Source organism: Homo sapiens, chromosome 5 (assembly GCF_000001405.40).
Source record: "Homo sapiens chromosome 5, GRCh38.p14 Primary Assembly".
Classification (NCBI taxonomy): domain Eukaryota; kingdom Metazoa; phylum Chordata; class Mammalia; order Primates; family Hominidae; genus Homo; species Homo sapiens.
This window is the reverse complement of record NC_000005.10, coordinates 43031235-43057383: the sequence shown is the minus strand read 5'-3', so window position 1 is coordinate 43057383 and position 26149 is coordinate 43031235. Positions and strand designations below refer to the sequence as shown.

General features: G+C 42.6%; 1 protein-coding gene and 2 long non-coding RNA genes across 4 annotated transcripts in view, besides 16 other annotated features; 2 read left to right on the top strand and 1 right to left on the bottom strand.

Moving 5' to 3' along the window:
• Window positions 1-26149, top strand: part of ANXA2R-OT1 (ANXA2R overlapping transcript 1) — a 52711-nt gene that overhangs the window by 10056 nt on the left and 16506 nt on the right. The window lies entirely within an intron of this gene.
• ANXA2R-AS1 (ANXA2R antisense RNA 1) lies at window positions 12116-15250 on the bottom strand. Its single transcript, NR_015447.1, has 2 exons — window positions 13817-15250; window positions 12116-12941 (listed from the first exon to the last, which is right to left on the bottom strand). It is a non-coding gene; the product is annotated as an ANXA2R antisense RNA 1 (long non-coding RNA).
• Window positions 12568-13067: an enhancer, noted in NCBI's record as "H3K4me1 hESC enhancer chr5:43044419-43044918 (GRCh37/hg19 assembly coordinates)". NCBI's record gives its function as "activates a minimal SCP1, AML or CMV promoter by ChIP-STARR-seq in naive H9 embryonic stem cells {active_cell/tissue: H9 hESC(naive)}" and the evidence as "EXISTENCE:reporter gene assay evidence [ECO:0000049][PMID:30033119]".
• Window positions 13644-14179: an enhancer, noted in NCBI's record as "H3K4me1 hESC enhancer chr5:43043307-43043842 (GRCh37/hg19 assembly coordinates)". NCBI's record gives its function as "activates a minimal SCP1, AML or CMV promoter by ChIP-STARR-seq in naive H9 embryonic stem cells {active_cell/tissue: H9 hESC(naive)}" and the evidence as "EXISTENCE:reporter gene assay evidence [ECO:0000049][PMID:30033119]".
• Window positions 13787-13836: an enhancer, noted in NCBI's record as "active region_22531". NCBI's record gives its function as "activates an Ori minimal core promoter by ATAC-STARR-seq in GM12878 lymphoblastoid cells {active_cell/tissue: GM12878}" and the evidence as "EXISTENCE:reporter gene assay evidence [ECO:0000049][PMID:35858748]".
• ANXA2R (annexin A2 receptor) lies at window positions 14137-18013 on the top strand. Of its 2 annotated transcripts, NM_001382352.1 has the most exons (2): window positions 14137-14328; window positions 16033-18013. In NM_001382352.1, the coding sequence occupies exon 2, from the start codon at window positions 17338-17340 to the stop codon at window positions 17917-17919; it is 582 nt and encodes a 193-aa protein (NP_001369281.1). In that variant the 5' UTR covers window positions 14137-14328; window positions 16033-17337; the 3' UTR covers window positions 17920-18013. The 2 variants fall into 2 exon arrangements, with proteins under 2 accessions (NP_001369281.1, NP_001014301.1); NM_001014279.3 differs by lacking the exon at window positions 14137-14328 and having other exon boundaries at window positions 17065-18013.
• Window positions 14180-14717: an enhancer, noted in NCBI's record as "H3K4me1 hESC enhancer chr5:43042769-43043306 (GRCh37/hg19 assembly coordinates)". NCBI's record gives its function as "activates a minimal SCP1, AML or CMV promoter by ChIP-STARR-seq in primed H9 embryonic stem cells {active_cell/tissue: H9 hESC(primed)}" and the evidence as "EXISTENCE:reporter gene assay evidence [ECO:0000049][PMID:30033119]".
• Window positions 14207-14406: an enhancer, noted in NCBI's record as "active region_22530". NCBI's record gives its function as "activates an Ori minimal core promoter by ATAC-STARR-seq in GM12878 lymphoblastoid cells {active_cell/tissue: GM12878}" and the evidence as "EXISTENCE:reporter gene assay evidence [ECO:0000049][PMID:35858748]".
• Window positions 14487-14696: an enhancer, noted in NCBI's record as "active region_22529". NCBI's record gives its function as "activates an Ori minimal core promoter by ATAC-STARR-seq in GM12878 lymphoblastoid cells {active_cell/tissue: GM12878}" and the evidence as "EXISTENCE:reporter gene assay evidence [ECO:0000049][PMID:35858748]".
• Window positions 14917-15206: an enhancer, noted in NCBI's record as "active region_22528". NCBI's record gives its function as "activates an Ori minimal core promoter by ATAC-STARR-seq in GM12878 lymphoblastoid cells {active_cell/tissue: GM12878}" and the evidence as "EXISTENCE:reporter gene assay evidence [ECO:0000049][PMID:35858748]".
• Window positions 15677-15756: an enhancer, noted in NCBI's record as "active region_22527". NCBI's record gives its function as "activates an Ori minimal core promoter by ATAC-STARR-seq in GM12878 lymphoblastoid cells {active_cell/tissue: GM12878}" and the evidence as "EXISTENCE:reporter gene assay evidence [ECO:0000049][PMID:35858748]".
• Window positions 16802-17071: a silencer, noted in NCBI's record as "silent region_15989". NCBI's record gives its function as "represses an Ori minimal core promoter by ATAC-STARR-seq in GM12878 lymphoblastoid cells {active_cell/tissue: GM12878}" and the evidence as "EXISTENCE:reporter gene assay evidence [ECO:0000049][PMID:35858748]".
• Window positions 17412-17461: an enhancer, noted in NCBI's record as "active region_22526". NCBI's record gives its function as "activates an Ori minimal core promoter by ATAC-STARR-seq in GM12878 lymphoblastoid cells {active_cell/tissue: GM12878}" and the evidence as "EXISTENCE:reporter gene assay evidence [ECO:0000049][PMID:35858748]".
• Window positions 17472-17881: an enhancer, noted in NCBI's record as "active region_22525". NCBI's record gives its function as "activates an Ori minimal core promoter by ATAC-STARR-seq in GM12878 lymphoblastoid cells {active_cell/tissue: GM12878}" and the evidence as "EXISTENCE:reporter gene assay evidence [ECO:0000049][PMID:35858748]".
• Window positions 17472-18183: a biological region, named in NCBI's record as "H3K27ac-H3K4me1 hESC enhancer GRCh37_chr5:43039303-43039843".
• Window positions 17643-18183: an enhancer, noted in NCBI's record as "H3K27ac-H3K4me1 hESC enhancer chr5:43039303-43039843 (GRCh37/hg19 assembly coordinates)". NCBI's record gives its function as "activates a minimal SCP1, AML or CMV promoter by ChIP-STARR-seq in primed H9 embryonic stem cells {active_cell/tissue: H9 hESC(primed)}" and the evidence as "EXISTENCE:reporter gene assay evidence [ECO:0000049][PMID:30033119]".
• Window positions 17902-17951: an enhancer, noted in NCBI's record as "active region_22524". NCBI's record gives its function as "activates an Ori minimal core promoter by ATAC-STARR-seq in GM12878 lymphoblastoid cells {active_cell/tissue: GM12878}" and the evidence as "EXISTENCE:reporter gene assay evidence [ECO:0000049][PMID:35858748]".
• Window positions 22594-23131: an enhancer, noted in NCBI's record as "H3K4me1 hESC enhancer chr5:43034355-43034892 (GRCh37/hg19 assembly coordinates)". NCBI's record gives its function as "activates a minimal SCP1, AML or CMV promoter by ChIP-STARR-seq in naive H9 embryonic stem cells {active_cell/tissue: H9 hESC(naive)}" and the evidence as "EXISTENCE:reporter gene assay evidence [ECO:0000049][PMID:30033119]".
• Window positions 23132-23671: an enhancer, noted in NCBI's record as "H3K4me1 hESC enhancer chr5:43033815-43034354 (GRCh37/hg19 assembly coordinates)". NCBI's record gives its function as "activates a minimal SCP1, AML or CMV promoter by ChIP-STARR-seq in naive H9 embryonic stem cells {active_cell/tissue: H9 hESC(naive)}" and the evidence as "EXISTENCE:reporter gene assay evidence [ECO:0000049][PMID:30033119]".

The following is a 26149-nucleotide window of genomic DNA, read 5'->3' as shown; positions in this document are numbered from 1 at the left end:
GATGGGATTTTCTAGATATACAATCATGTTATCTGCAAACAGGGAGGATTTGACTTCCTCTTTTCCTAAATGGATACCCTTTATTTCTTTCTCCTGCCTGATTGCCCTGGCCAGAACTTCCAACACTATGTTGAATAGGAGTGGTGAGAGAGGGCATCCCTGTCTTGTGCCAGTTTTCAAAGGGAATGCTTCCAGTTTTTGCCCATTCAGTATGATATTGGCTGTGGGTTTGTCATAGATAGCTCTTATTATTTTGAGATAAGTCCCATCAATACCTAGTTTATTGAGAGTTTTTAGCATGAGGCGTTGTTGAATTTTGTTGAAGGTCTTTTCTGCATCTATTGAGATAATCATGTGGTTTTTGTCTTTGGTTCTGTTTATATGATGGATTAGGTTTATTGATTTGTGTATGTTGAATGAGCCTTGCACCCTAGGGATGAAGCCAACTTGATCATGGTGGATAAGCTTTTTGATGTGCTGCTGGATTCAGTTTGCCAGTATTTTATTGAGGATTTTTGCATCGATGTTCATCAGTGATATTGGCCTAAAATTCTCTTTTTTTGTTGTGTCTCTGCCAGGCTTTGGTGTCAGGATGATGCTGGCCTCATAAAATGAGTTAGGGAGGATTCCATCTTTTTCTACTGATTGGAATAATTTCAGAAGGAATGGTACCAGCTCCTCTTCCTACCGCTGACAGAATTTGGCTGTGAATCCATCTGGTCCTGGACTTTTTTTGGTTGGTAGGCTATTAATTATTGCCTCAATTTCAGAGCCTGTTATTGGTCTATTCAGGGATTCAACTTCTTCCTGGTTTAGTCTTGGGAGGGTGGATGTGTCCAGGAATTTATCCATTTCTTTTAGGTTTTCTAGTTTATTTACATAGAGGTGTTTATAGTATTCTCTGATGGTAGTTTGTATTTCCGTGGGATCGGTGGTGATATCCCCTTTATCATTTTTTATTGCGTCTATTTGATTCTTCTCTCTTTTCTTCTTTATTAGTCTTGCTAGTGGTCTATCAATTTTGTTGATCTTTTCCAAAAACCAGCTCCTGGATACCATTGATGTTTTGAAGGGTTTTTTGTGTCTCTGTCTCCTTTAGTTCTGCTCTGATCTTAGTTATTTCTTGCCTTCTGCTAGCTTTTGAATATGTTTGCTCTTGCTTCTCTAGTTCTTTTAATTGTGATGTTAGCGTGTCAGTTTTAGTTCTTTCCTGCTTTCTCTTGTGGGCATTTAGTGCTATAAATTTCCCTCTACACACTGCTTTAAATGTGTCCCAGAGATTCTGGTATGTTGTGTCTTTGTTCTCATTGGTTTCAAAGAACATCTTTATTTCTGCCTTCATTTAGTTATGTACCCAGTAGTCATTCAGGAGCAGGTTATTCAATTTCCATGTAGTTTTGCGGTTTTGAGTGAGTTTCTTAATCCTGAGTTCTAATTTGATTGCACTATGGTCTGAGAGACAGTTTGTTATAATTTCTGTACTTTTACGTTTGCTGAGGAGTGCTTTACTTCCAACTATGTGGTCAATTTTGGAATAAGTGCAGTGTGGTGCTGAGAAGAATGTATATATTCTGTTGATTTGGGGTGGAGAGTTCTGTAGATGTCTATTAGGTCCACTTGGTGCAGAGCTGAGTTCAAGTCCTGGATATCCTTGTTAACTTTCTGTCTTGTTGATCTGTCTAATGTTGAGAGTGGAGTGTTAAAGTCTCCCATTATTATTGTGTGGGAGTCTAAGTCTCTTTGTAGGTCTCTAAGGGCTTGCTTTATGAATCTGGGTGCTCCTGTATTGGGTGCATATATATTTAAGATAGTTAGCTCTTCTTGTTGAATTGATCCCTTTACCATTATGTAATGGCCTTCTTTGTCTCTTTTGTCTCTTTTGATCTTTGTTGGTTTAAAATCTGTTTTATCAGAGAGTGGGTTTGCAACCCCTGCTTTTTTTGTTTTCCATTTGCTTGGTAGATCTTCCTCCATCTCTTTATTTTGAGCCTATGTGTGTCTCTGCAGGTGAGATGGGTCTCCTGAATACAGCACACTGATGGGTCTTGACTCTTTATCCAATTTGCCAGTCTGTGTCTTTTAATTGGGGCATTTAGCCCATTTACATTTAAGGTTAGTATTGTTACGTGTGAACTTGATCTTGTCATTATGATGTTAGCTGGTTATTTTGCTTGTTAGTTGATGCAGTTTCTTCCTAGCACCAATGGTCTTTACAATTTGGCATGTTTTGCAGTGGCTGGTACCGGTTGTTCCTTTAGTGCTTCCTTCAGGAGCTCTTGTAAGGCAGGCCTGGTGGTGACAAAATCTCTCAGCACTTGCTTGTCTGTAAAGGATTTTATGTTTCCTTCACTTATGAAGCTTAGTTTGGCTGGATATGAAATTCTGGGTTGAAAATTCTTTAAGAATGTTGAATATTGGCCCCCACTCTCTTCTGGCTTGTAGAGTTTCTGCTGAGAGAGCCACCGTTAGTCTGATGGGCTTCCTTTTGTGGGTAACCTGACCTCTCTCTGGCTGCCCTTAACCTTTTTTTCCTTCATTTCAACCTTGGTGAATCTGACGATTATGTGTCTTGGGGTTGCTCTTCTTGAGGAGTATCTTTGTGGCATTCTCTGCATTTCCTAAATTTGAATGTTGACCTGCCTTGCTAGGTTGGGGAAGTTCTCCTGGATAATATCCTGAAGAGTGTTTTCCAACTTGGTTCCATTCTCCCTGTCACTTTCAGGTACACCAATCAAATGTAGATTTGGCCCTTTCACATAGTCCCATATTTCTTGGAGGCTTTGTTCATTTCTTTTTACTCTTTTTTCCTCTAACTTCTCACTTCATTTCATTCTTTTGATCTTCAATCACTGATACGCTTTCTTCCACTTGATCAAATCGGCTACTGAAGCTTGTGCATGCATCACGTAGTACTTGTGCCATGGTTTTCAGCTCCATCAGGTCATTTAAGGTCTTCTCTATGCTGTTTATTCCAGTTAGCCATTCGTCTAATCTTTTTTCAAGGTTTTTAGCTTCTTTGCGATGAGTTTGAACATCCTCCTTTAGCTCGGAGAAGTTTGTTATTACCGATCTTCTGAAGCCTACTTCTGTCACCTCGTCAAAGTTATTCTCTGTCCAGCTTTGTTCCGTTGATGGCGAGGAGCTGTGATTCTTTGGAGGAGAAGAAATGCTCTGATTTTAGAATTTTCAGCTTTTCTGCTCTGGTTTCTCCCCATCTTTGTGGTTTTATCTACCTTTGGTCTTTGATGATGGTAACCTACAGATGGGGTTTGGTGTGGATGTCCTTTTTGTTGGTGTTGATACTATTCCTTTCTGTTTGTTAGTTTTCCTCCTAACAGTCAGAACCCTCAGCTGCAGGTCTGTTGGAGTTTGCTGGAGGTCCACTCCAGACCTTATTTGCCTGGGTATCACCAGTGGAGGCTGCAGAACAGCAAATATTGCAGAATAGCAAATGTTGCTTCCTGATCCTTCCTCTGGAAGCTTCGTCTCAGAGGGGCACCCGGCTGTATGAGGTGTCAGTTGGCCCCTACTGGGAGGTGTCTCCCAGTTAGGCTACTCGGGGGCCAGGGACCCACTTAAGGAGGCAGTCTGTCCGTTCTCAGATCTCAAACTCCATGCTGGGAGAACAACTGCTCTCTTCAAAGCTCAGTTGGAAATGCAGAAATCACCTGTCTTCTGTGTTGCTCACGCTGGGAGCTTTAGACTGGAGCTGTTCCTATTCAGCCATCTTCGAACGATCTCAGCATACACTTATTTTTCAAGTGAGTGTAGCTCTTCTGTGGTTTCAGCCATTGGCCCCAGAGTGTGGGTCTCAACAACATTTTTGTCCCCTTTAAACTTCAGAAATGACTCTAGCCTATGTAAGCCCAGCATGGCAGCCTGAATGCACTGTACTTCATATGTGCACAGAACTGGGGACATTGGCAGTGGTGGCTCAGTGCAGTGAAGTTGTCCATTGCCCAATCCCAGCTTACTTTAGGCTTAAGTCTGGTGGCATGTGGGGCTCTGGACATGCTGCCTTCAAGACAGCTCTTCCAAAGATGATGAATGGGGCTCCATATTTTAGCCTCCAGATCAGGCCAAGCTACGTGGCTGGTCTAGGAAAGGGAGTAAATGATTCTGTCCAGTACAGACTGTGCTTTTATAGTATGTTCTGTTATATACAGAATGGCAGACACCAAAGTCCAAATAGTTGGGAGATGATCACTAATTCATCTGGAAAAATTTCTTCAGGACCTGATAGGATTAAGGTGAAAATTGTAGGCACAATTGAAAGTCAGCAGGGTTGTTATGATTGAATCAGGCAAGAAAAGAAGTGAGGGAAATTCCATGGGAGGGTAGAGTCCAGTTACTAACAGTGTCTATTGTAGGAGACAAGAAGTTAATAGTTTTTTGTCACCCATTGCCAGGGTTATGGCTTGCAATCTTACAACAAAACAGATTAACAAGAGAAAACCATTAAAAAATTATTTAACAAAGTTTTCCATGACAAGGGAGCCCTCAGAAATGAGGACCAAAGACCCAATGAAAAGTATGTATTTTTAGGCTTGGATTCTATGGACAAGTCATGTAGAAGTATGATTGGACAATAAGTATATTATCTAGTGCTAATAAATGGGCACTGGGGAGCCCAGAAATGGCTGTCTGTTCAGATTCTTTTGGCCTCTGGGTAAAGAAGTACTCCTCTGGAATAAGGGCTTTATGCCCTACTTTCAGGGGAGGTAGGTCAGAGCATTCCTTTATGGCCAGCTGCCACACAGAAAGGCATAGTGATTGTGGTAATACTGACCTTCTTGCTTCTTTGGTTTTCTCAATTGCCAAGGTACCATGAAACCTCCTTATAAAGTTTCTCGGTTCAGGAACTGGGTCACTATATTATCTAGTCATTATACCAGTCTCTCAGTCCTGAGAATAGGTCAGTCCAGTTAAACAGTTAACAGGACTGTCTCGAGTCAGGTGGTGGGATTGCAGAATGGCATCCACCAAAGTTAGGCCTAAGCAATCATTCATTTAATAAGAGATATTTCCAGCCAGGTGTGGTGGCTCATGCCTATAATCCCAGCACTTTGGGAGGCCGAGGCGGGCGGATCACCTAGGGAGTTTGAGACCAGCCTGACCAACATGGAGAAACCCTGTCTCTACTAAAAATACAAAATTAGCCAGGTGTGGTGGCACATTCCTATAATCGCAGCTACTCAGGAGGCTGAGGCAGGAGAATCACTTGAACCCAGAAGGTGGAAGTTGCAATGAGCCGAGATTGTACCATTGCACTCCAGCCTGGGCAACAACAGCAAAACTCTGTCTCAAAAAAAAAAAAAAAAAAAGATATTTTCATTGAAACGAGAAAAGCAAAGGTTAATGATTGGAACTGACTATAAACTCAGTTTTTTTAGTCCAGAGGGCAGCCAGTCAGAAAGTTTTAGATGTTAAGCTTGAAGTATCTTCAGTTTGAATGGGGGCAGGCAGTGGCAATCTGACGGAATTTCCTGGTTTGCAGTTTGCATGAGGTGTTCTGGTGAAATTTCTGAGTAGTCCATGTATGAGTGGTGGTGATTTCTCTGCAGTCTATATTAACCCATCCAGCTTCAGCTGACAAGACTTCAGGAAAAGTGCAGTTTAATTTCAGCAGTTCAAAGCCAGAAGGGTAGAAGAAAAATCAGAAATATTAGTTTTAAGAGCCATAGCTAGACTTTTTTTTTTTTTAGGTGAAGTCTTGCTCTGTCGCCCAGGCTGGAGTACAGTGTCACCATCTCCACTCACTGCAACATTCACCTCTGTGTTCAAGCAATTCTCCTGCCCCTGCCTCCCGAGTAGCTAGAATTACAGGTGCACACCACCACACCCAGCTAATTTTTGTATTTTTTGTAGAGATGGGTTTTCACCATGTTGGCCAGGCTGGCCTCGAACTCCTAGCCTCAAGTGATCCACCTGCCTCAACCTGCCAAAGTGCTGGGATTACAGGCATGAGCCAATGCGTCCAGCCCTTTTTTTTTTTTTTTTTGAGATGGGGTCCTTGCTTTGTAATTGAGGCTGGAGTGCAGTGGCACAAACAAGGCTTACTGCAGCCTCAACCTCCTTGGCTCAAGCAATCCTTCCACCTCCACCTTCCAAGCAGCTGCAACCACAGGCGCATGCCTCCATGCCCAGCAAATTTTTGAACTTTTTGTAGAGACGGTGTTTCGCCTTTTGCCCAGGCTGGTCTCGAAGTCTTGGGCTTCAGCAATCCTCCCACCTCGACCTCCCAAAGTGCTGGGATTGCAGTTGCGAGCTCTGACACCCAGCCCATTGCCAGATATTACAGGAAACAAAAAATTCAAGATCCAGTCTAGATTTCAGGTAGACGAAAAAACCTCAAAAACAATGAGCTAGAGTCTAATAACAGGTGCACTATATTTTTTTCTCTGAAAGTTTTTTCTCTATACTTACTCCCTTTTTATCAAACATCATCAAAGTATTAGTAAGAGTAATCTGTTTGCAAAATAAATTTAGTGTCTTTAAAGTTGGCCTAATATTTACACAAGTGCAGCAGGAATAGTGTTTTACCACACAGGGTCTCTTTAAGTTGGCTTTTCTGGATCTTTTAATAAGGAATCTCAAATTAGACTTTTAAAAGCCTCTCAAGGCTAGGAAACCATACCAGGATCTTGCTATCACACTTTGCCTGGAATACCTATAGATTTCGGTGAATTCTTCCCTTGTCAAGGTCCTCCAAATATCCTGATGTTCCTCAGCCTGCCAGGAAGTGACATTTCTTACCCACCTGTAAGGCCAGGAACCCTTTTAAACCAGACCAGTTTCTCAAGTCTGAGTGTGTTGTTTCTGTTCCTAAAAACCACAAAAGAAAGAAAACAGTGATATTACATTCAACGTGGTAACAACTCTGAATCTTTGTTCTAACAGTGGAAATATAATATCTCTAGGGATTAAGCCCGGTCTCCAGAATGTACCCGGGCCATAGGAAAATAACATCCAGATGTTTTTTAACAGCACCTACAAGGACGAGCTGAGGGTTTCTCAGTATAGGGGAAACTGTCACAAGGTGTACCCTCTTTTCTTTTGAAGCAGTAAAAGCAGTTCTCATTCTTCCCCATTCTTTGTTCAAAGCATATGAGATATGAGCCAGCTTTATAGTTATTGTCATGCTACCTTACATGCATGTAAATCTGTTAAGGCTAATTCAATACTAGTGTTCTGTCTCTCTTCTGTTGGGTACACAGGGGTCTTTTTGTGTCAGGATTGTTTTATTTCTCCCACAGTGGATATATTCTTCCCCTTTCTTTCATCCTAAGTGGATTATTCTTAGAAGCTTATCCTAAGTGGATTATTCTTAGATAGGGCTTCCTAGAAGATGGTTCCATGTGATCAAGCAAACTGTTGTGTTCAAGGTAGGTTCAGTTAATAGTACCCAATGTTCATAAAAGTAGTGGGGGATTCTCTTTAAAAAAAAGAATAAAAATTTTGAGTACAAAATTACAGACCTGTTCAAACGGATCCTAAAAGCTAAGCTTCCTTAGCTGCATGGTAAATTCGCCTCTGACCCTGCGTGATACCCAGTATGGGCCAATAAGGTAGTGTTGCAGGAAACTGAGGACCAGAGAGACTGATATGGAGAACAGGAGGATTGTTTATTTTAGGTACGCACCGGCTCAGTGGATTTGCATCCAAAAAGCTGAGCCTAGAACAAAGACAGAGTGGGGTTTTTATAAGCTGGCTTACAAAAGTAAAACAAAAGCAGCTAATCATATGATAGGTCACATAATCTATAGCATAGCATAACTTGTGGCCTTGCATAGTCGGTGGTCTTGTGCCTGCATTGAAAGAAAAACAAGAACTGGCTAAATACAGACATTTGTAAAACATAATCTCGCTTAAGAAGCCTGGGAGAGGAGTAACAGTAAAAGAATTTGTCTTTCTTTTTTTTTTTTTTTCATTCAACCTTGCTCTGGAGCAGGGGCGGGTGTCTGGAGCCCATTCCTTTGGACTTGGCTTTCCGGACAGGGGTATCTTATAACTGTCTTTGAAGTGAGCTTGCTAGGCAGAGGAGAACTTGTTCTTTTCTTTTTAACCCTTGCCCTGCCTGTTACTTTTCTTGGAGTGAATGAATGCGTATTTATTTTTAAATTTTCTGCCTCAGTAGCACACCATTGAATTGTCTCTCACTCCTTCCTATTCTAATTACCCTGTCTTTTAACTCCCACTCTCTTAAAAAAACCACTTTTGAATTAAAAAGTGGCACATAAGTTTTCACTTTAGCTAATGCTTCCTGTGGAAGCCAGGCCAATAAAATATGCCTCTCTGTTTACCTTATATGCTTTGACTTTTTTCTTCTGCAGACTGAATCCTAAATAATTCAATCTGTATTGAAAAGATTATGAGGATGCCTACAAAAATAGAATGATTCAGGTCACTATTGACCTTTGAATGGCCCCGAATGAGACATGATGCCAGTATTTAATAAGTCTGCCTGAGCAGGGCAGAAAAATTAAAAGGCCCTTTTAAATATCAAGCAAGTATGAATATTTATATGCCTATTTTGTATATCACTCTTGTCAATCCCCCAATTTTTTGGTTAGCCAAGAGCTCTCATGATCACAGGTGATAAAAATTATAATGTATTAGCATATTGAATCCAGCAATATATGTTTTAAAAAATACATCATGATCCAGTGGGATTTATTCCATGAACTCAATATTGGTTTAGCACTTGAAAATCAGTTAATATTAGTCAACACATTAACATTAAAAAGGAAGTAAACCATGTGATAATATCAGTAGATGCAGAAAATCTTTTAAAAATTTAACCCCTTGTCATTCTTAAAACAAAACATATCTTAACAAATTAGAAAAAGTGGATTCCCTTATTTATTTAAAACTATATCTATAAGAGACATACATAGTTAATATTCCACCTTGAAAGAAATAAAAATGTTTAACCCCAAAATATATTTATTTGAAATATTTTCAGATGGCTGCCAGAGAACCAGCAAAATAAGTAGTCCTGCAATGCTTTCGTTTGTGGGAAAAATTTGCATCTGTAGAAAATCTGCATTGATTCATACAGGCCTTCTCTTGTCTGGATCTAGGAAGGATTAACAGAGTCTGAACCCTTACAAGTTTTCTCTCTCCTATAACCTGTTTTGGCATGATGCACTTTTTTGTGTAACCTCAAGATGGTATATAACCTCCTGCACCTCACTGAGGGGCTGAGCAATCATACATTTTCTATGTGTTTTCTCCTATTAATCTGCCTCTGTGAGTCCATTTTAGAGCAAACTTTCAGAGTGCGCAGAGAAAGATTTCCCTTGGCCCCTGAAAATTTGGTGCTGTGAGCAGGAACCCAAAGTTTGGCTCTTTTGGAAGCCCACAGTTGAGGGAAACCAGGAGCTGATCAGCCAGCATAAGGATAAAGAATTTTTACCAGCCAGATTCCAGGCCCCACTCTGTGGAATCTGGTGAAGTAGACAGTAAAAATCACTCTCTATTTTTCCTGTCCAAAATATTGACTGATGGGAGAAAAGGATTTGTGTGACTAGTGCTGGTGTATCGACTCTGGTGTACTTTTTGGTACTTTGTAGTATGAATCATGTTGTTTCATCCCCTTTCCTCCCAGAATAGTCTTTTCTTTGTCTTTATCTTTCTGTATTCTGTCATAAAGAGGAGTAAGGAGTATAGCAGTACAGTACAGATGAAGGTTTTCTCTCATCTCGTTTTGTTTTTTTTTTAATTTGTTTTGTTTTTTTTTAGACAGAGTCTTCTTGCGCTATCGCCCAGGGTGGGGTGCAGTGGCATGATCTGGGCTCGCTGCAACCTCTGCCTCCTGGGTTGAAACAATTCTCGTGCCTCAACCTCTGTGTAGCTGGGATTATAGGCATGCACCACCACACCCAGCTAATTTTTATATTTTTAGTAGAGACTGTTGGCCAGGCCTCAAACTCCTGGCTTCAGGTGATCTGCCCACTTCGGCCTCCCAACGTGCTGGGATTACAGGCGTGAGCCACCAGTTCCCAGCCCTATTTTGTTTTTGTTTTAGAGACAGGGTCTTACTCTTTCACCCAGGCTGAAATGCAGTGGCATGATTATAGTTCTCTGTAACTTTAAACTTCTGGATTCAAGCCATCCTCCTGCCTTGGCTTCCCTAGTAACCAGGACTATAGGCTCATGCCACCACACCCAGCTAATTTTTAAAAAATACTTTTGTAGAGATGGGACCCCTTATGTGCCCAGCCTGCTGATGAACTCCTGGGCTCCCGAAGCACTAGGATTACAGGTGTGAGCTACCATGCTAGGCCTGAAATAATCAATATGCCAGAGGTATATTGGTATATTGGGGTGGTGTATTCTGGTGTCCAACAGTCAAATTTTGAGAGAGTGTGTCCAGAATAATCAACTCAGAACTTAGGTTGCTATCTTGAACTGGAGTGTTAGGGAGAAGGGACACAGTAAAATCACACACACACACACACACACACACACACACACACACACTACATTAGAAGATGAGCCTTAAATTTGCACCAAGAGTTGATTTCTTAACATTGAATGCTAAAATTACATTTATCTATTCAGCCACAGACAGAGCTATATGCACTCCAACTTCCCTAAGTGAGGCTGTGCATCTACAAAATGGAGAGAACTAAGAAGAAAGCCCAGCACAAAGCATGTGCTCACCACATTTTTCGGTTGAGAATGAAACAAGATAAAGCACAAAATATAGTTGGTATGGTGTCTGTCACAAATAATGATTTTCATGCCACAAACCACACAATATGTGAGAAGAACTAAAAGGGGAGGCAAGAAGCTGAAAGTGTTTATGAGAAATTGCACCTTACAGATACTGGAGGAGTGGGGAAGATGATTTTCCCACTTACCCAACCATTTCAGTGTATTGAGCTATGAAAAAAACAAATACAATCAAAAAATAGGTTTCAAAAAATTACAACTTGGCTTGGCATGGTGGCTCATGCCTGTAATCCTGGCACTTTGGGAGGCCGAGGTGGGTGGATCACATGAGATCAGGAGTTCAAGGCTAGCCTGGCCAACATGGTGAAACCCCGTTTCTTCTAAAAATACAAAAATTACCCGGGTGTTGTGGCAGGAGCCAGTGGTCCCAGCTACTCTGGAGGCTGAGGCACAAGAATGGCTTGAACCTCGGAAGCAGAGGTTACAGTGAACTGAGATCGTGCCACTGCATTCCAGCCTGGGTGACAGAGCAAGATTCTGTCTCAAAAATAAATAAATAAGTGAACAAAATAAAAATAATTTAAAAAATAAAGAATTACAACTCTAATCTCTATGCTATTTTCAAGACATAAACAAACTAAAAAATGGCACTAAAGATTGAAAATAAAGGAGTGGATACCTGAATTTAATCAGTTCTAGGGTAAACATTTTTCTCATTTAGTATCTCTGAAATATGTATATATTTTTAAATGGGTGGCCTCTTACCATTGGGACACAGTATAATTTGCAGCATTTTCCTCTGTTAATGGTATATGTAATAATGTCTCAGGTGACCCCTTCTTACAGAGCTTGTAATCCCAGTTATGTTATTTTTTATTTTATTTTATTTTCTGAGACAACGTCTCCCTCTGTCACCCAGACTGAACTGCAGTGATGCGGTCCCAGATCACCATTCACTGCAGCCTGCATCTCTAGGGCTCAAGAGATCCTCCCACTTCGGCTTCCCGAGTAGCTGGGACTACAGGCACTCGAGACCAAATCCGACTAATTTTTCAATTTTTTTTTTCTTTTTTTGGTAGAGGCAGGATCTCACTTTGTGCTTAGGGTGGTATTGAACTTCTGGGCTAAAGAGATACTCCTGACTTAGCCTCCCAAAGTGCTAGGATTATAGCAGGGAGCTACTGCTCTGGGTCAGCTTTTCTGCTAAAATGCTTTGCTGAGGTGGAAATGAGGAGGGTGAAGCAGTGGGCGGGCATTTGTTTTACAAAGGCTCTACCTAGGCTGTACCATCTGGTGAAGTGCTTGTAACTTTTAAGGTGGAAACGATGCCATTTTTCCTTTATTCTCCCGTCTGTAAGACCAGAAGGCAATTGGAGGATCCTCAAATACCAGGGAGAAACCAGGTAGCAGAAGAAGTAGTATGGTGGGAGGGGAAGATCAAAGCAAACGCCTGGGGAGTGAGTGACAATTGCGACCCCAAATTGGGTCTCCTGACTTGTCAAGGCCCTTCTCTGGGCTCCTCTGCACCTGTCCTCTGCCCAGGTTGATCCAGAAAAGGATGGAATTGGTTGCATGGTGTTTTCAGGATCCGATTGGGAGATGATGCGTTCGCGTGGGAACGCTCCTGGTAGGGTCTGTAAGCCTCTTAGGGGGATTACATCTGGATGTATAATTTTTTTTGGGAAATGTGAAAGCTTATGGGAAAAATACGTTTTACTTCCAAGCAGTGGCAGTTCCTTATTTCCTATGAGGAAGGAGTTTATAGCCCCACTCTTGACTGAAAAGTGTGAGAGACAATTCAAGCGCTTGAAAATTCACCTGTTTTGCATTTCCGGAAAGACAGAGAAAGCGTCAGTGATCCATTTCACAGATCAAGGGTATAGGAAAGTGGATGGCACTTTGAGATGTTCATTAGGTTTGGAGAGGGAGCAGACATCTGCCAGCAATCCCACCTCTTGTGCTGGAGTCTTGCAGTTCATTTTTCTCTCCTGCCCTCTTCCAAATCCTATGTCCAATATCAAGGATATCTGACAGTTAACCATCAGAATCAACGAGCGTTCCCACAGAGTTCCGTCCTGCAGGAGAGGTACCGGGACAGGGGCGGGAGACCTGAAGCTGCGATCAGAAAACGCTGTGCCTTTTACGCTCCTAAGGAACCTTAGACCGAGAGTTTCAAGTTTCAAAGGCAAGCAGTTGTTGGCCCCTCCTGTAGGATCCTGTGGGCTCTGGACCGGGAAGAGAGCCTGGCAGCGAGGGGTGACCTGGAAAAGCCCAGTCACAGAGGGTGGATGGCTGTTTCCTGCGTAGGAAGCTGTTGGCGACCAGAATGGTTTATACTTTGTTCCTGGGACCAACAGGATCTGCTTGGTTCTCGGCGCATAAGCCCACTACTCTCCCCCTGCGTAATGCACTGGGTGGAATGCAAGAACAATACAGACTTCCTGCGGGCCTCGGTGGCCCACGCCTGTGATCCCAGCACTTTGGGAGGCCCAGGCGGGCGAATCGCTTGAGCTCAGGAGTTCGAGACCAGCCTGGGCAACATAGCGAGACCGCCGTCACTAATATATATATATTTATATATATATATTTCATATATAATATATATTTTATATATAATATATATTTTATATATAATATATATTTTATATATAATATATATTTTATATTTTATATACTATATAAAATATATTATATATAATATATTATATATAATATATTATATATCTTATATATTATATATTATATATAATATATTTTATATATTATATACTATATTTTATATATTTTATATATTATATATAATATATTATATATTATATATTATATATAATATATTATATATATTATATATAATATATAATATATAATATATTATATATATTATATATAATATATTTTATATATAATATATATATTATATATTATATATATATTATATAATATATATATTATATAATATATATATTATATATAATATATAAATAAATATATATTTATATATTTTATATAATATATAAAAATATATATTTATATTTATATATTTATTTATATTATATATAAATATAAAATATATATTTTAATATATATATTTATATATATAAATATATATAAATTAGACGGGGGTGGTAGCACTCACCTGTGGTCTCGGCTACTCTAGAGGCTGAAGCGGGAGGATCGCTGGATCCCAGGAAGTCGAGGCTGCACTGAGCCAAGATGACACCACTGCACCAGCCTAGGCGACAGAGGAAAAAAGAAAAGAAAAAGACATCAGACTTCCCTAAGCCCGTGGGGGACAGAGTGGGTAGAGCCAGTAGCACTTTGGTGGCACCGAGCGCGCAGTTGGTCGGTCGCTGCACCGTTCCTTTCCCAGCGCCGGCTGTTTCTCACTGGCAACGCCACGCCTTTGTCAGCGTTATCGGACGCTCTCTGGCGGCAACCTTCTCACGGCCAAAAATTATCTTTTGCAACTGCACAGACATTTGCTACGGGCAGCTGATCGCTGGGTCCCAGCGCCGCTGGTTTCACAATTTCGCGGGTGCCCCCCACCATCCCCAGCCCGCAGCATAATCGGTGAAGGGAGCCTGCGGTTTCTCCGCCGCGCCTTCGCCCGTTGCGTCCTGCGAAGCCAGTGGAATCGGTGGTCACAAGGTTGGTTTCACCAAGTCGGGCGTTTCTTGGCACTGGCACCGCTCTGCGCTTTTGCTGGCCCAGGCCGGTCTCAGCACCGTTAGGTGCTCTCTAAAGGCGACTGTCTGTCGTGGTTAGGAAAGCTGCTATGGGACGACAGTTTTTTAGAAGTTTCTAGTCTAGCCCAGCTGGCGGTTTCTGGATCGCAGAACCACTGATTGCGCGGAGCTGGATGTACTTCTGTGGCCGCGCATGTTTCTCTGTGGTATCCCTACGGCTGTCGTCGAAATCGCGGTGTTTCTCTGGCCCCACCGCCACGTGGGCAACTTCTTCAGTGGCTGCGGGGTTCTCTCCACTGAGTTGCTGGTTTTGATCCACGCTTTCTCCCAGAGAGCAGACGAGACACTTTTCTGTTTGTGTCAACTGCTAGTCGTGCTGTGCACAGTTTCCTCGTCTCGGTGCGGGGCTTTCTCCATCCGAGGCCCTCTAGTGCCGGCTTCGCGGTCGCAGCACCCGGCGTTTCCGTTGGCTCTTTCGCCAGCGGCGCGAAGCCGGCGGTTTTGCTGTCACAGCACTTGCTGCACGGAGTTTCTCGGTAGCCGAACTTCTCTTTTTTTCTCAGAGTCGACGGTTTCTTGGTGACGGCACCGCTGGTTGCGCCAAAACAAATGTTGTCCTTGACAACCCCGCCGGCTGCATTCCCTTTCAGGCTCCTGGCACCGCCATTTCGGCGAGCCGTGGTCTCTTGTTCACAGCTCTGTGCCTCCATTTCTCGGTGGCGGCAGCCCTCAGGCCGCGGATCTGAGAGATTTAAAGTCGCAGCTGCCCCCGTTGCGCCGAGTCTGGCGTTGCCGGATGGGTGCTGCAGGGCTGGGCGGGGGGAGCCCGACGCTCCTTGGAGCCGGTGACAGGGGAGCTGCAGGGGCACAGTCTCTTCCCAGCGCCGCCGCACGGGTTCCGGCTCGGCCTCCAGAACGCAGTCCTGTGGCGGCGCCGCCGGCGTCTCTGTCGCAGGACCCCACGGTTTCGCGCGTCGTTGGCTTCTTAGTCCTAGCAAGTTTCGATTTCGCGGTGCCTGGGATTTCCACCCTCTGTCCAAGTAGGGGAATAGCCAAAATGTATTTTCTCAGCCCAAGCAAGTCCTGACTTAAGACAAACACCGGTCTAGCCCTGGCTGCGATATCTAGGCCGTAGGAACTCACCCGTTTCCCCATGCGAAGGCGAAGTTACCCTGTGACTCGTTGGTCAGCAGCTCCGGGTTTCCAGTGGCCTCGGATTTCTAATCATAACAACCATGGGGTCAGCCTAGCCTCAAGTTTCTTAGTCCTAGCAAGTTCCGGTTTCCTACTGGTAAGACTTGCTTTAGCTGCGCAGGAAATGTTTAACTCCTGTGGAAATCTGGGTACCAGCGAATGCTTTTTTTTTTTTTTTAAAGGTTTAGCGATGACCAGTTTAGCAGTGTTGGGAGCTCTTATACCAAGTTTGGTTTCGCAATATCGAGTCCTGTCTTAGCTATGCTTGTGTGTTTTTAAAACTCCCGTGGAAGTCAGGAAATGCCGGCGATCGCGATGTCTCAGTTTTACCAAGCTCCCTTTGACAATAGCAAGTCCTGCCCATCGAGACTTTTTCCTCTTGTAGACCAAATCGGGATGTACCAGCTACTACGATTTTTTAGACGTAGCTAAACACGTTTAACCGTGGATATTTTTGTTTTTTTTCTCGTAGGAAATTATGACAGGAGCAACCTGCAGGGGTTTAGATCTGACAGAAATATTCTAATGGTAGGCATTGCATCGCTTAGCCATATTTGTAATTTCTTCTTTGTAGGGTTGGTTCTCTGTAACTTTTGCTTACCTTAAAATTATTTTTGTGTCTTGCTCTGAGGACAATGTTACCGATGTGTTTTTCATTTTTACTTGCATTTCAGACTTTCATTATTTTAAATTATGTATTTTTTTTTTCTTCTAATTTTGAGCGTCTCAGATTCGTGCTTCTTGACTTTCATTCTCTCAGGAGCCGGGGAGCCGAGCTCGGTCTTAGCCTCGCTGGTATCAGGTTCCGGGTTCTGTCTGGAGGCTCCGCTTCCTATGCAGAGCTGGCGGTTTTGTATCAGCACGTTTGCCAGTGGCGCCCACTGGGCGTTTTCTCAGTTGCTGCACCCAACGTGACATTTCCCGTTCGCGGGGTCCTTAGGTTCTCAGTGCTGTCACTTTTTCGCTCCTACAACCGCTAGTATCTCCTAGGAACTTCCTGAACCCCGTTTTGCCGTGCAGAACGGTGATTGCACCGAGCCGCTGTTCGCACTAGTAATTGTGTGGTACCATTAGCCGGCGCTTTTTCTGTCACAACCCATTAAAACGGGTTAAAACATATTAAACCTATCAAACACATTGAACGGATTAAAACACATTAAATGCCGCAACACATTTTTCTGGTACAACACATTGAAACAGAGTTGGTTCATTCCTCCAAACAGGTTGTTTAGGTGTGGAAGCACCGCTCTTAGTTCTAAGAGCATGCTGTTTCTCTTTAGCAGCACCCTTTACGGCGCCAAAACGGATATTTGTTTGGCAATACCAGCGCTATCCGCTAGGTGCCGGCGCTTGCTAAGTTCAACGCGCCAGTTTCTCGTTTGCAAGGTGGTTAGGGCAGAGCCCTAGCAGACAGTTTTCCGGTGGCAGCAACGCTCATTTCCCGGAAACGGGTGGTTCTTGGCCCTTGCGCGCTCTTGAATACCTGCGTTCTGTAGCGCTAGTTCTCTTCAAGATTTGCTTAGTGTCATTTCATTTCGGTTTCTTTTCTCGCCATGTTTTTCTGTCGGAATTACGGTTCGTTTTGGTTCTATGTACTCTCTAAAATGTTATCGTTTTTCATTTGTCTACTAATTTTCGTGCATTTGTTACTACTGAGTTTCTTAATATCTGACTGGCCTCCGCCCACGGGCTCTGCAGAGCATAAATACTCAGGCTGATGGTAGTGCAGAGACTCTCCCTCCTTGATCAGCGCAAACGTTGGTCTGAGGCTTGAGGGATGGAGCAACATTTTCTTGGCTGTGTGAAGCGGGCTTGGGATTCCGCAGAGGTGGCGCCAGAGCCCCAGCCTCCACCTATTGTGAGTTCAGAAGATCGTGGGCCGTGGCCTCTTCCTTTGTATCCAGTACTAGGAGAGTACTCACTGGACAGCTGTGATTTGGGACTGCTTTCCAGCCCTTGCTGGCGGCTGCCCGGAGTCTACTGGCAAAACGGACTCTCTCCTGGAGTCCAGAGCACCTTGGAACCAAGTACAGCGAAGCCCACTGAGTTCAGTTGGCCGGGGACACAGAAGCAGCAAGAGGCACCCGTAGAAGAGGTGGGGCAGGCAGAGGAACCCGACAGACTCAGGCTCCAGCAGCTTCCCTGGAGCAGTCCTCTCCATCCCTGGGACAGACAGCAGGACACCGAGGTCTGTGACAGCGGGTGCCTTTTGGAACGCCGCCATCCTCCTGCCCTCCAGCCGTGGCGCCACCTCCCGGGTTTCTCAGACTGCCTGGAGTGGATTCTTCGCGTTGGTTTTGCCGCGTTCTCTGTACTCTGGGCGTGCTGTTCACGGATCTGTGGAGCTAAGCAGCCTTAGATAGCAGCAGAAGGCTTTTTGGATTCTCCTCCTTGAAAAGATTCTCAGTTACCAAACGTCTCCACCTAGAAAATAAAAATACATTAAGATGTGCTTTCATTGCTGGTTGTCAGTTTTTAAATTCTCTTTTTCCCTTATGTTTCTTTCTTGTTTCGCGTCGCTTATTACTTTCAGTTTCCTTGTATTTTAAATATTTGTATTTATTTCATTAAATATTTCATTCGTATCTGTTTTCACTTTGAGAAATCTATTTTACGATTGTAGAATTCTTAGAGTTTTTGGCAAATTTAAAATTTGTTTTTTTCCATTGTATTTTAAAATCTTATTCCTACTATTTTTCTAATTATTGCTTTTTAAATGTATTGTTTGTTTACATTTAATTTTATATCATGTCTTTTACGTTATTATAACGTCTTTTTAATTTTAATTGTTAATTTTATTTTTAACAGCGGTCTTTCTTTTTTTCAGTATATCGATTCATTGTTTTACACTCAGGAATTTTATTCACGATCATAAGACTGAGAGGTTTATCAATCTTTGCTATTTCTCGTGGAAGGACCACGCAATTACTTATATTAATACAACTTCACAGATGACCAGTTCTTAAGATTACTTATTCTGGCGGGGCAGCGTGGCTCACGGCAGTAATCCCAGCACTTTCAGCAGCGGAGGCATGCGGATTGCTTGAGCTCAGGAGTTTGAGAAAAGCCTGGGCGACAGGGTGAGGCCTGTGTCTACAAAAAATGCAAAAGTTAGCCCTGTGAGATGGTGTGCACCTGTAGTCCCAGCTGCTCCGGAGGCTGGGGTGGGCGGGTTGCTTGAGCTCAGGAGGTCGAGGCTGCGGTGAGCCGGATAGCACCAACGCCCTCCAGCAGAGCGAGAGCCTGTCTCAAAATAAATAAATAATTGAAAAGACTACTTATTCATGGGTCTCAGGGCTAGCAGTGTTTCCAGCGTCTTTTTCTTTGGAACAGTTTAGCTTGGCTTATAAGAGAACTACCAGTTACTTAATGGTACCACAACTGGGTTTAGCAATTCGGGTAGGCACAGCAGGTCCGGCTTGGCCCTGCCTGCTTTGACTGCCTTTTCGGGAGTTTTAAACCTCCTACACTCGGAATGTAGCCCTGATTGTGGTTTCTCTGCATAGCAAGTTCGGACTTAAGCGGAATAAGTATCGGCTTATTTCGCCTGCGATAAAGATGCTTAATTCTGCGTTCGAAATATTCTGAGCGAGTCCTGGGTTAGGGATTTCTTAGAGTAACAAGTGCATGCTTCGATTTTAAGTGCCCCTGTGAATGTGATTTCTTAGCTCTTGCAAGTCCATATTTGGTCGCAACCAGTACTAGCATAGCCATGCCTGCGACTCCTTAGTCCCAGTAACTTTCGGTTTCATAATAACTTACCCTGCTTTACTTATGCCTGAGTTTTAAATATAGAAGTCCGGGCACGTAGGTGAAGAAGATATTTTAGGAGTAGCAAGTAGCGGTTTAGCAGTGTCTGCAGTCCCTTAGTTAGAAGTCCTGGTGAGACCGAGCAGATACTGATATAGGCCTGACAGCGATATTACCTCTGTGAAACCACATTGTTTAGAAGTGTTTGCATTTTCTTCTTTGTAGAGTCCATTTTTCCATGTTTTGCTTAGTTTTGAATTTTCATTTGATGAATCTTCCCAAATGTATTGTTTTTATTGTGTGTGCGTGTGTTTTTCAGCTAACTTGCCCTTTAAAAAAAAATTGTTCCTAATTTTTGTTTTGCTGACCCTCAGCTTTATGCTGTCTGGTTTGCGCTGGCCTGTAATTCCCGGAACTAAATATTCTATTCTTTTGGCCTAACTGGCCTTTCGTCGATGGCATTACTGCTAGTTTTGCCGCTCTAGGTGCTCCTCGGTGTTAGCACTGCCGGTTGCTTCTGTGAGGCTTGCTAGAGCCCAGGACGCTGAGGTGCTGGGTGACCCCGTTTCGGTGCAACCACTCCGAAGGTTCTCGGTTTATCCAGCTGTGTTTTGGAACAAATGCCAATTCTTCCTGGGAGCAAGTGTCTTTCAGTCGCGTTCCTGGCTGTTTTCTTCAAAAGCAGGCGTTTCTCCTGGTAGCACCGCTTGTTGGCGACGTCGGATTCTTTTCCGTGGCAGTACTGGTCGTTTCATGGAGTGGCCGGTTTCTCACTCGCACTGTGCCGGCTGGCAGTTATTCCGTGGAGGCGCAGCTCTCAGCCGCTTCCCTTGGTTCTCGGTGTCGGCTGTCCCTGTACCTGCGTTTGTGGCGGTATTTCTGTCACAATCGAGTCTGTGTTTTTTCGATGACAACGCCATTCATTTCTCTAAAACAGGCTATGTTTGGAATTGGCAATTTTTCTTTGTCAGAGTCCTTGGTTTCGCAGAGCCTGTTGTTCCAGGTTACTGGACTGCTGTTTGCTCCGTGCTAGCAATGTTGCACCCAGTACCGTTAGGTGCTCCCTGTTGGAGTTTTGAGACAGCGTTTTGAGATAGGTGCACCAGCACTCCAGACCTGGCACCTGAAGAAAGCATTATCATTTCAAGCTCAGTAGGGGCAATAGAATGAGTGGTGTTAGAGAAAGCAAGCAGATGCTTGAAGAAAGGGCCACTCCACAGTATTTTTTGGCTTTTTTTTTTTTTTCACTTTTTTTGAGACAGGGTCTGGCTGTGTCCCCCAGGCTGGAGTGCAGTGGCACAAGCATAGCTCACTGCAGCCTCAACCATCCTGGGTCATGCAGTCCTCCCTTCTCAGCCTCATAAGTAGCTGGGACTACAGGTATGTGCCACCATGCCTGGCTACTGTGTGTGTGTGTGTGTGTGTGTGTGTGTGTGTGTATGTATGTGTGTGTGTGGAGATGGCTTATCTTTCTATTACCCAAGATGGTTTTGAACTCCTGGCCTCAAGTAATCCTCCTGCCTCGGCCTCCCAAAGTGCTGTGGTTGCAGGTGTGAATCACCACAGCCAGCCTATTTTTTACTTCAGATAAAATATTTCAGTACCCTGAGGTCTAGGTGAAACAAAACAAGGTAATAAATTACTAATCCATATCTCTGAACAGCTGTTGTCTTTCAGTGTCTAAACTCAATCAGAAGCCTGGGAGCAAAAGTAGCTCTCCAGTGCAGTCCATACAGGTTGCTTCTTGCAGCGCAGTGCTGACTGAAGAGCCTTAAGCGGATCTAGAGAGGCAGACTGTTACCTAGCAGTGTCTTTATGTTGGTCAACCTATTCACAGTGGTAACTTTTTTATTTTTTTATTTTTTTTTTTATACAATCTCCCATTGAAACCCAGGCTGGAGTGCATTGGCACGATTTCGGCTCACGGCAACCTCTGCCTCCTGGGTTCAAGTAATTCTTGTGACTCAGCCTCCCGAGTAGCTGGGATTACAGGCATGCACCACCACACCCGGCTAATCTTCTTGTATTTTTGGTAGAAACCGGGTTTTGCTATGTTGGTGGGGCTGGTCTCCAACTCCTGGCCTCAAGTGATCTGCCCACCTTGGACTCCCAAAGTGCTAGAATTTCAGTCATGAACTACCCCACCTGGCCCACAATGGTAACTTTTAAAAATGGTCTAACAACAACTCTGTACTCATAATTTCAACAAATTAGATAAAATGCATCAATCCTGCGAGATCCAGTCTACCCAACTCATGAAAAATAATCTGTAAATTTTTGCAATTATTAAAGATATTGAATTCATGGTCAAAAATCTTCCAAAAAAAAAACAAAAACAAAAACAAAAAACCTAGAGGTTCTTACCATTTCACTGACTAATTTTACCTAATATTCAAAGAATAAATAACAAATTCTACACAATTTATTCTAGAAAATAAAAGAATATGGAATACTTCCCAACTTATTTTATGAGATCAGCATTTTCCTGGCAAACCGAGGACACTAAGAGAAAACTACTGACCAAGATTGCACCTAAACATAGATGCAGAAATCCTCACCAAAATACTAACAAATAGAAATCAGAAATGTATGTTAAAGAACAATACCATGCCCAAGTAAGGTTTATTCCATATATAAGTCTGGTTTAATACTCAAAAGTCAATCAGTATATTTCACCCTATTGGTAGGCTCAATGAGAAACACTGTATAATCCTGTCAAATGATGCACAAAAAGCATTTAAGAAAATCTATATGCATTCGTGATTTAAAATTTAAAAACTAACTCTCAGCAACGTGGGAATAGAGGGATTTTCATCAACCGTGCAAAGAACGTCGACAAAAACCTGTAGCAACATTGTATGTAATAGTGACAGACTCAATGCTTTTCTCATGAAATCAGGAACAAGGCCAAGATAGTCGCTCCAACCATTTCTATTCAACAAGGTACTGGAATTGTTCGCCAGTGCAATAAGGTGAGAAAAGGAGTAAGAAAGCATATACATTGGAAGTGAAAAAATGAAACTATTCATACATGCAGAACATGAGCCTATGGAGAAAATCTTAAAGAGTCTAGAAGAAAACTTCCAGAAATTATGAGTTTAACAAGGCCTCAAGATAGAAAGGTGCAAACCTTCAGAGGGAAAAAGTTCCAGGGCCTCAGAACAGGAGAATTTCCTGCAGTAAGTTCTCAGGTCTGCTGCCTGTTCACCGGATTTCCTGTAGGCTCAGCCTGTGAGTCACCAGCCATGCACGACCCCTGGCCTATTCTCCCCTCCAATCTCTGCATAAGACACACACTTCTTGTACTTTTTGTTTGCCCTGCAACCAGCAAACCTAGGGGATTCAGGGTCCCCGTGATAGTCCTGGCACCAGCAACCAGCCACCCCGCCCCTGAGGCTCATCCTTACCCAACATCAACAGGAACACAGGCAACAAGAATTTCACATTTGTGTACGATTTTATTGAGAAGGGGAAAGACAAAGGCACAAAATGATCGAAAGGCAAAACTTCCATCGCATTTGAGCGAACTCACGTGTTACTGTAACAACATCTGTTACAAGAGATCGTCCAATGGAAGGTCTTAGCGGAAATCTCAGGGCTCAGGACTCCAAAGACACATTGGACTCGGTGGACACATTCTTAGGGCGTCTGCCCCAAGAGCATGCAATCTGCAGCCAGCAGTCTTGGAACTTTGGTTGGTGGCTCCGAGGTCAGCAGTAGGCTGACACTCTGAAAGGTCTCCTCGGACGGACCTGTCCGGCTGGAGTTGTCTGCCTACCGAGCGAGGGGCGAGTTGCGAGGGAGGCTGCGGGGACGGGAGTACGTTGAGACCCTATGCAGCCTCCTGCTCTCCCGAGGGCTCCTGCGGATCCTCCTGGGTCTCTGGCGCGGGATCCAGAGCGGGCGACTCTGCGCCCCGCCTCAAGGTGCTCTGAGGCTTGAGAAAGAGATCTTTTCGCCGGCAGTTTCAGCAATGAAGCACGCAGGGAGCCGAAAGTAGGTCCCAGTGGAAATCTAGGCCGTCCCAGGAGAGCTCGCAGTGATAAGGAAAGGAAGGGAGCATCCAGGACACCGAATGTACTGAGCTCAGGGCTGGAGGCATCTGGCCCCGCCAACTCCTTTGCGGAATCCCGGGCCTGCCAAACTCCGAGGGGAGACAGCAGCTCCACAGCAGCTCCTTCGTGTCTTTCATTCACCAGCTGACGCCGGGTATGTGGGACTCAGAAGTCAACATCTTTTGCGTTTTTATACTCTTCTGGCCTCCTGGGGGTCCAAATCAGATTTCAGGGAGGTGGGTGGAAACCTTAATCTTAGGAGCAAATTACATCAAGAGATGGAATTAATGAGATTTACATAAAGTCCTATCATCTGAGATGAAGTTATCTAGTTAAATAGTTTGCTTTAGGGATTGAAAAGAAAAAATACTATCTGGTGCAGGGAAATCTGTTTTGGGGGACCCTGGTTAGAAAATTCATTATTGCCCCCAAATGCATTACTAGTACTGGAGCAGACTTGGATCCTTTTCTACCCCAGAGCAATGCTTGTCAGATGCCTGATGGGTCATAATGTTACTGAGGAGCAGGCCAGGGTAGTCGCCCATTTTTAAAATAAAAATACCTGTTTTGTTTTGTTTTGTTTTGTTTGTTTGTTTGTTTCTTTTGACACGGAGTTTTGCTCTTGCTGCCCAGTCTGGAGTGCAATGGCAAGATCTCGGCTCACCGCAATCTCTGCCTCCTGAATTCAAATGGTTCCCCTGCCGGCTGGGCGCGGTGGCTCACGCCTGTAATCCCAGCAGTTTGGGAGGCAGAGGCGGGCGGATCACAAGGTCAGGAGATCGAGACCATCTTGGCTAACACGGTGAAACCCCGTCTCTACTAAAAATACAAAAAATTAGCCGGGCGCGGTGGCGGGCGCCTGTAGTCCCAGCTACTCGGGAGGCTGAGGCAGGAGAATGGCGTGAACCTGGGAGGCGGAGCTTGCAGTGAGCCGAGATTGCGCCACTGCAATCCCGCCTGGGCTAAAGAGCGGGACTCCGTCTCAAAAAAAAAAAAAAAAAAAAAAAAAATGATTCCCCTGCCTCAGCCTCCCGAGTAGCTGGGATTACAGTCGCCCGCCACCATGCCCAGCTAATTTTTTGTATTTTTAGTAAATACGGGGTTTCACTATGTTGCCCAGGCTGGTCTTGAACTCCTGACCTCAGGTGATCCTCCCGCCTCGGCCTTCCAAAGTGCTGGGATTACAGGCGTGAGCCATCGCGCCTGGCCTTTTATGGTATTTCATAATACTATTGTGTGTTATGTGGCCTCTTTTTAAATTTTAATTTTAGATTCAGGGGGTACATGTGTAGGTTACAAGGGTCTATTGTGTGATGCTAAGGCTTCTATTGATATTGTCAATACTAGTATTGAACATAGTCCTCAGTAGTCCTCAGTGGAACATAGTCCTCAGTAGGAAGTTTTTCAGCCTCTACCCCCTTATCTCCTTACCTCCTTTTGTTGTCCTTCAGTTTTCTATTGTTCTCATGTTTATCTTATTTTATTTCATTGAGACAGGGTCCCACTCTGTCGCCCAGACTGGAGTGCAGTGGCATGATCTTGGCTCACTACAACTTCCACCTCCTGAGTTGAAGCAATTCTCCTGCCTCAGCCTCCCGAGTAGCTGGGATTACAGGCGCCCACCACCATGCCAGGCTATTTATATATATATATATAAATATATAATATATTATAATATATAATATATAAATATATTATATATTATATATATAATATATTTATATATTATATATATAATATATTTATATATTATATATATAATATATTAATATATTATATATAATAATATATATAATATATATATAAATTAAAAATATATATTTATATATTATATATTATATATTTATATATTATATATTATATAATATATATTATATATTTATATAATATATATTATATTATATATTATAATATATATTATATTATATATTATTATATATTATATTATATATTATAATATATATTATATATTTATATATAATATATAAATATATTATATATATATTATATATTTATATATTATATATAAATATATTATATATTTATATATTATATATTTATATGTAATATATATTATAATATATATTATAATATATATTATATATTTATATATTATATATTTATATGTAATATATATTATATATTTATATATTATATATTATATATATTACTATATATAATATACAATATATATTACTATATATTATATATTTATATATAATATATAATTATATATTGTATATTATATATAATATATTTTATAATATATATTATATATAATACAATTTGTTATATATATAACAAATTATAATATATATTTATATATATATATTTTTAGTAGAGATGGGGTTTCACCATGTGGGCCAGGCTGGTCTCAAACTCCTGACCTCAAATTATCCCTCCCTGCCCCTCTGCCTCGGCCTCCCAAAGTGCTGGGATTACAGGCATGAACCACTGCACCCTGCCCTGTTCTCATCTTTATGTTCCTGTGTATCAGGTTTACCTCCCACTTATAAGTAAGAACATGCAATATGTGTTTCTGCATTAATTTGCTCTGGGTAATGGCATCCTTACAGAATAGTTTGAAGTTGGATAATGTGATGCCTCAGGCTTCTTTTTTTTTTTTTTTTGCTTAGGATGCTTTGCCTATTACTTGACTAATTCTTTTTTTTTTTTTTTTTTTTTGAGACAGGGTCTTGCTCTTTCACTCAGATGGGAATGCACTGGCATGGCCTTGGCAGCCTCGAACTCTCAGGCTCAAGTGATCCTCCCCCTTCAGCCTCC